This window comes from Homo sapiens, chromosome 4, assembly GCF_000001405.40.
Source record: "Homo sapiens chromosome 4, GRCh38.p14 Primary Assembly".
NCBI lineage: Eukaryota > Metazoa > Chordata > Mammalia > Primates > Hominidae > Homo > Homo sapiens.
Window position 1 is genome coordinate 166,436,456 of NC_000004.12, and position 8,066 is coordinate 166,444,521.

Sequence of the window (8,066 nt, forward strand, 5' to 3'; positions counted from 1 at the left end):
TGTTTGCATATATATCAAATATCTTTGTATCTCCTATCTCTTATTCCCTTATTATGTAACATAGAATGCATATAGACTTTATATAATAGTATACATATAAATATATATAATATTAAGTATTACTTATTTTATATTGTAGTATCTAAGTTACAGCAGATCAAGTAGAATAGTAAACATCACTCAAGGTCCTTGTTTTTTGAGAAAGGTGTTAGTGCATTTTCAGTTCTATACAAGATGTTTGCATCATGTTAGGTGGTATCATAACCTTGTTATTGTTTTTCATTTGGAGAGGGCAATGAATATGGATGTCAAGTTGGAGGATGGGCTTCTGATGCTTAATGCTAATTATGACAGTAAAAGCACTGTTTCTGTGATACACACAGGAAATTTATATATGTTCTCGGTCAGCTCAGAATGTCTTTTTGAGTAATGAAAGGTCTATTGTATGTATCCATGGGTAGTGCCACAATATGTAAACACTTTTGTTTAAGAGTTCTGGAATGTGAGGAGTATGTCCTCTCTGGAAAAATGATGGGTGTTTCCTCCAAATAACAAATATTGGTTTAATTTTACCAAGCTATTTTGTTTCATTAAACTGTGCACATGGGGAGAAAAAACAGTTTTATGTTTAAATCAGGCTTCCAGACAACTTAAGATAATGAGTAAAAAAGACACCCAGAGACATTTCGACGCTTAAATGAATCCTATATTGAATTTCTAGTCTCAGAATATCAGTGCTTATTCAACTAGCAACAATTACTTTGGTGGATGTTTAAAGAGTTTTGGCAAAATCATGTTATAATCAGAGTGGAGTAATGTATTTTTAATGCTTTCTTATGAAAGTGAAAAAAAAATGTAGTAGCAGTAAAATGAGACGGATAGATAATGAGAAATAAGCAGAAAGGCAATTGACAAAGAATAAAAGAAAGAAGCAGGTGATGTAACCAGGCTTCTCTTTGGCTGAAATATAGAGACTTAATGATTATTCCTTATTCATTAATCTTTGTAGCCTCTCTTTTCCATGGTTCAGAGCTCTTTCCATGAGCCTATAACTCCCTACCTGCCCTTTTTTAAGCTCAATACCAGAGATTCCCAATCTTTTCTCTCTACCCGCAGAATCCCAGTTCACCTTCCTTCACTCCAGGACTTGGTATATCAGTTATACATCAGGTGTTAATGATGGATTATTCAATTTACTCTCCCCTGTAGGACTATTTACATTTCAAATGTGAACATGTCCCACATAAATTTTCTTTTTCTTCAGCTTTACTAAGGTATAACTGGCCAATAAACATTGCACATATTTGTAGCATATAATGTGATGTTTTGATACATTGTGATGTGACTAAATCACGAAAATTTACATATCATCACTTCACATATTTATCTATTTTGTGGGTTTATTGAGAACATTTAAGATTACTCTCTTAATTTTCATATATACGATGCATGCTTATAAACTGTAGTCATCATGCTATACATTACATCTCCAAAATTTATCCAGCCTGTCTAACTGAAATTTGACAATCATTTCTGTATCCTCCAAATGCCCCAGGCTCTGCCAATCATGGCTCTGACAATCATTTTATTTTTTGCTTCTATGAATTCAAATTTTAGGTTCCACATATAATTGAGATCATGTAATATTTATCTTTCTGTATCTGGCTTGTTTCACTTAGCATAATGTCATCCAGGTTTATCTATGTAGCTGCAAATGATAGAATTTACTTATTTCTTTAGGACTGAATAGTATTCCATTGTTTTATATATATATATATATATACACATATATATATATACACATATATATACATATATATATATATACACACATATATATATATATATATATATATAAAATCTCACACTCTATCCATTCATCTCTTGATGAGTGCTTGTTGATTCCATAGCTTGGCTATTGTGAATAATGTGGCTATTTTGAATAATGCTCCAATGAACATGAGAGTGCAGATATATCTTTGCCATACTGACTTCTTTCTTTTTTCTTATAACTTGAACTTTTATTTTAGATTCAAGTGTACATGTGTGGGCTTGTTACCTGGGTATCTTGTGTGATGCTGAGGTTTGGAGTATGATTGATCCTGTCACCAAGGTACATGGCATAATACTCAATAGTTAATTTTTCAACCCTTCCTCCCTTCTTCTTTCCTCTCCTCTAGTAGTTCCCAGTGTCTATTGTTGCTACCTTTATGTCCATTTGTACCCAATGTTTAGCTCTCACTTATAAGTGAGAACATGTGGTATTTGATTTTCTGTTCCTGTGTTAAATCACTTAGGATGATGTCCTTCAGCTGCATTCATGTTGCTGCAAAGGACATGATTTCATTCCTATTTATGGCTGTACAGTATTTCATGGTGTCTATGTACCACATTTTCTTTATCCAATCCACCATTGATGGGTTCCTTAGTTGAGTTCATGTTTATGCTATTGTGAATACTGCTGCGATGAACACACAAGTAGAAGGGTCTTTTTGGTAAAATGACTGTTTTTTTGTTTTTTTGTTTTTTTGTTTTTTTTTTTTTTTGCTATATACCCAGTAATGGGATTGCTGGCTCAAATGGTAGTGCTGTTTTAAGTTCTTTGAAAAATCTCCAAACTGCTTTTTGCAGTGGCTTAACTAGTTTACATTCCCTCAGGTAAAAGAGAACATAGTGTACGAGTGTTCTCTTATCCCCGACCTTGGCAACTGTTATTTTTTGATCTTTTAATAATAGTCATTCTGACTGGTGCAAGATGGTATCCCATTGTGATTTTGATTTGCATCTCTCTGATGATTAGTGATGTTGAGAATTTTTTAATGTTTGTTGGCTGCTTGTATGTCTTCTTTTGCAGAATGTCTGTTCATGTTGTTTGTCCATTTTTAATGGAGTTATTTGCTTTTTACTTGTTGAAATGTTTAAATTCCTTTTAGATTCTGGATATTAGACTTTTTGGATATTAGACTTTTGTTGGTTGCACAGTTGGCAAATATTTTCTCCCATTCTGTAGGTTGTCTTTTTACTCTGTGGATAGTTTATTTGCTGTGCAGAGCTCTTTAGTTTAGTTAGGTACCACTTCTTAATTTTTGTTTTTGTTGCAATTGTTTTTGAGGGCTTATTTATAAATTCTTTCCCAAGGCTGATGTCCAGAATGTTGTTTCCTAGGTTTTCTTCAAGGACTCTTACAGTTCGAGGTCTTACATTTAAGGCTTTAATTCATCTTGAGTTAATTTTTGTATATAAGGGAAGTTAGCGGTCCAGTTTCATGCTTCTGAATGTGGATAGCCAGCTATTCCAAAAACATTTATTGAATAGGGAGTCCTTTCCCCATTGCTTCCTTTTGTTGAATTTGTCAAAGATCAGATGGATGTAGGTGTGCAGCTTTATTTCATGGGTTCTCTGTTCTGTTCCACTGGTCTATATGTCTGTTTTGTACCAGTATCATGCTGTTGGTTACTGTAGCCTTATAGTATGGTTTGAAGTCAAGTAATGCAATGCATCTAGCTTTGTTCTTTTTGTTTAGGGATCACTTTGGCTATTCAGGTTCTTTGTGGTTTCAATATGAATATTAGAGTATATTTTTCTAACTGTGAAAAATGCCGTTGGTAGCTTCATAGGAATAACATTGAATATGTAGATTGTTTGGGGCAGTACGGCCATTTTAATGATATTCATTCTTTCAATCCATGAGCATAGAATATTTTCCCGTTTGTTTATGTCATCTCTGATTTCTTTCAATATCTGATTTCTCAAGATAATTAAAAATATCTTGAGTCAAACAGAAATGGAAACACGACATACTAAAACCTGTGAGATGCACCAAAAGCCAAAAGCAGTTCTAAGAGGAAATTTTATAGTGATAAATTCCTACATTTAAAAAAAGAAATATCTCAAATAAAAAAACCTGACATTATTTTTTAACAGTTTTGTAGCTCTTCTTGTAGAGATCTTTCACCTCTGTGGTTAGATGTAATCCTTGATATTTTATTTTGTTTTCAAAGATACTATAAATGGGGTTACTTCTTGATTTGGGTCTCAGCTTGAATATTATTGTTGTATAGAAATGCTAATAATTTTTCTATATTGATTTTGTATTCTGAAACTTTACTGAAATCATTCATCAGTTATAGGACCATTTTGGCAGAGTCTTTAGGATTTTCTATGTATAGAATCATATTGTCAGCGAAGATAGATAGTTTTTCTTCTTTTCCTATTTGGATGCCCTTTATTTCTTTATCTTGCCTGATTGCATTGGCAAGGACTTTCCAATAATATTTTGAATAGGAGTGATGAGAGTGGACACCCTTGTCTTATTCCAGGTTTCAAGATAAATGCTTTCTGGTTTTTCCCATTCAGTATGATGTGGGCTGTGGCTTTGTCATAGATGGCTGTTATTATTTTGAGGTATGTTCCTTTGATGCCTAGTTTCTTGAGCAATATTATTATGAAGGGGTGTTGGACTTTATCAAAAGCTTTTGCTTTCACATACTGATTTTATTCTCTTTGAATATATACCCAGAAGTGGGATTGCTGAATCATATACTAGTTCTATTTTTAATTTTTGAGGAACCTCCATACTCTTTTCCATAATGGCTATACTAACTTACATTCCTACCAACAGTGTACAAGTGTTCACTTATCACCACATTCTCACCAACACTTGTTATCTTTTTCTTTTTGATAAAAAACCATTATTACTGAGGTGAGATAACATCATATTGTGGCTTTAGTTTGCATTTTGCTGATGATTAGTGATGTTGAACTCCTTTTTATATACCTGTTAGCCTTTTGTACGTACTCTTGAGAAATACCTATTCAGGTTCTTTGCCCATATGTTAGTTGGATTATTTTCTTGGTATTAAGTTGTTTGAGTTCCTTATATATTTTAGATATTAACCTTTTATTAGATGTATGGCTTACAAATATTTTCTTCCAATCTGAGCTACATTCTCCAGAAACGTAGTTCTTCACTCTGTTGATTGATTCCTTGGCTGTGCAGAAGTTTTTTAGTTTGCTATGATCCCATTTGCTATTTTTGTTGACTATCCTTTTGGAGCCATATCAAAAATATCATTGACTAGACAAATGTCAAGAAGTTTTTAACTCTATATTTTCTTCTAGTGCCTTTAAAGATTCTTACTTATTTAAGTTTTTAATATATTTTGAGTTCATTTGTCTCTATGGTGTTAGTAAGGGTCTAATTTCATTCTTCTGCATGTGAATATCCAGTTTTCCCAACACTACTTATTGAAGAGACTGTGCCTAAAAGAGATAATTAAAAATATCTTGAGACAAACAGAAATGGAAATACAACATACTAAAACCTATGAGATGCACCAAAAGCCAAAAGCAGTTCTAAGATGAAATTTTATAGTGATATATTCCTACATTAAAAAAGTAATATCACAAATAAACACCCTGACATTATTTTTCAAATAACTAAAAAAAGAAATGCAAAGCTCAAAATTAGCAGAAGAAAGGAAATAAAAATTAGAGTAGAAATAAATAAAATAGAGACTAAATAAGCAACAGAAAAGATGAACAAAACTAAGAAGTTTCTTTGAAATTATAAGCAGCACTGATAAATATTTGCTTACAGTAGGAAAAAAAGAAGGCATAAATAATAAAAGCAAAACTAAAATAAGAAGCAACTGATACCAGAGTAGTAAAAGGATCATAACAGACTGCTATGAGCAATTATATTCTAACAAATTGAATAACCTAGAATAAATGGGTCAATTCCTAGTAAGATACAACCTACCAAGGCTGAATCACAAAGAAATTAAAAAAATCTGAACAACCGAACAAGTAGATTAATTAAGAAAAAATATTCCCATCAAAAGAAAAGTACAAGTTCTGATGGCTTTATGCCTGAATTTTACCATCACTGAAAGAACTAATATTTATTCTCCCCCAACTCATCCAAAAAATTGAACAGTAGGAACACTTCCAAATTCATTTTTTGAGACCAGAATTACCTTGATACCAAAGCTAGTCAAACGCACGATCAGAAAAGAAAATTTGAAGCCAATATCCTTGTTGAACATAGCCACAAAAGCCTCAACAAAATACTAGCAAACCCAAATTCAACACACATTACAAAAATCATTCACCATGGTGAAGTAAGATTTATTCCTGGGATGCAAGGATGATTCAATTTAGGTAAATCAGTAAATGCGATATATCACATTAACAAAGTAAAGGACAAAAAACATATGATCATACCAATAGATGCAGTAAAAGCATTTGACAAAATTCAACATTCTTTCTTGATAAGACTCTCTGCAAATTAGGTATACATGGAATTTGCCTCAACAATAATAACCATATATTGCAAGCCCATAGCTAATATCTATGACATTCAGTAGTAAAAATTTACAAACTTCTAAGATCAGGAACAAAAAGACAAAAATCACTTGGATTCAACATACTACTGAAAGTCTTAGTACAATTAAGCAAAAGAAAGAAATAAAAGGCTTCTAAATAACAAAATAAGTTAAAGCAAGCTAACATGACATGATCTTATAAATAGAAAATTCTAAATGCTCCACCAAAAGACTATTGTAATAAACAGATTTACTAAAGTCACAGAAGAAAAAATCAATATACAAAAATCAGTAGCATTATTGTACACTAACAAAGAACTATACAAAAAAAATCAAGAAAACAATCCTACTTATAATAGCATTAAAAAGCAAAATACTTAGGAATAAATTTAATGAATGAGGTGAAAGATCTGTATACTAAAAATTATAAAACATCGATGAAGCTGGGCACAGTGGCTCACGCCTGTAATCCCAGCACTTTGGGAGACCAAGGCGGGCGGATCACTTGAGGTCAGGAGTTCCAGACTAGCCTGCCCAACATGGTGAAACCCCATCTCTACTAAAAGAAATACAAAAATTATTTGGGTGTGGTGGTGCATGCCTGTAGTCCCAGCTACTCAGGAGGCTGAAGCAGGAGTATTGTTTGAGCCTGGGATGTTGAGGTTGCAGTGAGCCAAGATTGTGCCACTCCACTCTGGCCTGGGTGACAGAGCGAGACTCCATCTCAAAAACAAACAAACAAACAAACAAACATTGATGAAAGAAATTGGAAAAGAGCCAAGTAAATGGAAAGACTTTCCGTGTTCTTGGATTGGAAGAATTAATATTGTGAAAATGTCTCAAGGTAATCAGTAGATTCAGTGTAATCTCAATCAAATTCTGCTGAAAATTTTCACAGAAATAGAATAAGCAATCTAAAAATTCAACAGAAAAGACCCCAAATAACCAAAGCAATTTTGAGCAAAAAATAAAAAAAAAATAAATAATAAAAAATAAAAAAAGCTGGTGACATCATACTACTTGATTTCAAAATATATTACAGACCTATAGTAATAAAAACTGCATGTTACCACCATAAAAATAGACATATGGACCAATGAAACAGAACCGAGAGCCCAGAAATTGATCCACTCATTTATGGTCAGTTTTCTACAATGGTGCCAAAAACACAAATTTTTATCTATGAGATCTACCTATTTAAATAACTGAGAATACTGCCCATATGCCATTTAACAGTCATTCACATATTGATGAAAATCTCACACAAAGCATTCACCTAGATTGCTTTTTTTCCTCACATAATTTAGTTATCAGCTCAAATAAACCTTACAAAAAGAGATCCCTCCTTCTGTTTCCTAAAGAGGCTTCAAGTCTCTATCATAATATCCCTACGTGCTGTATCATGGCACTTTTGGCAGTCTGAAATTTTCTTGTTAATTTACTTTTTATTACTAGTTTTATGCCACAGTAATGAAAACTCCACAATACCCTAGATTGTTCTTTGGTGTGTGGTGTGTGTGTTTTATGAATATGTGGTCACTTAGGAAATTGGTTAGCATATAGCATTTGTTCTATAAACATATTGAATATAAATAAAATTCAACAGCTAAGAGATTTGACAAAGAACTTTGAGCATACTAATATCTGTCTCAATAATTTCATTTATATTTATTTGTGTAAATAACCTAAAAATTTAGAAAAATGTTTTGCAATTATTTGTCCATTTTAATATTCTTTATG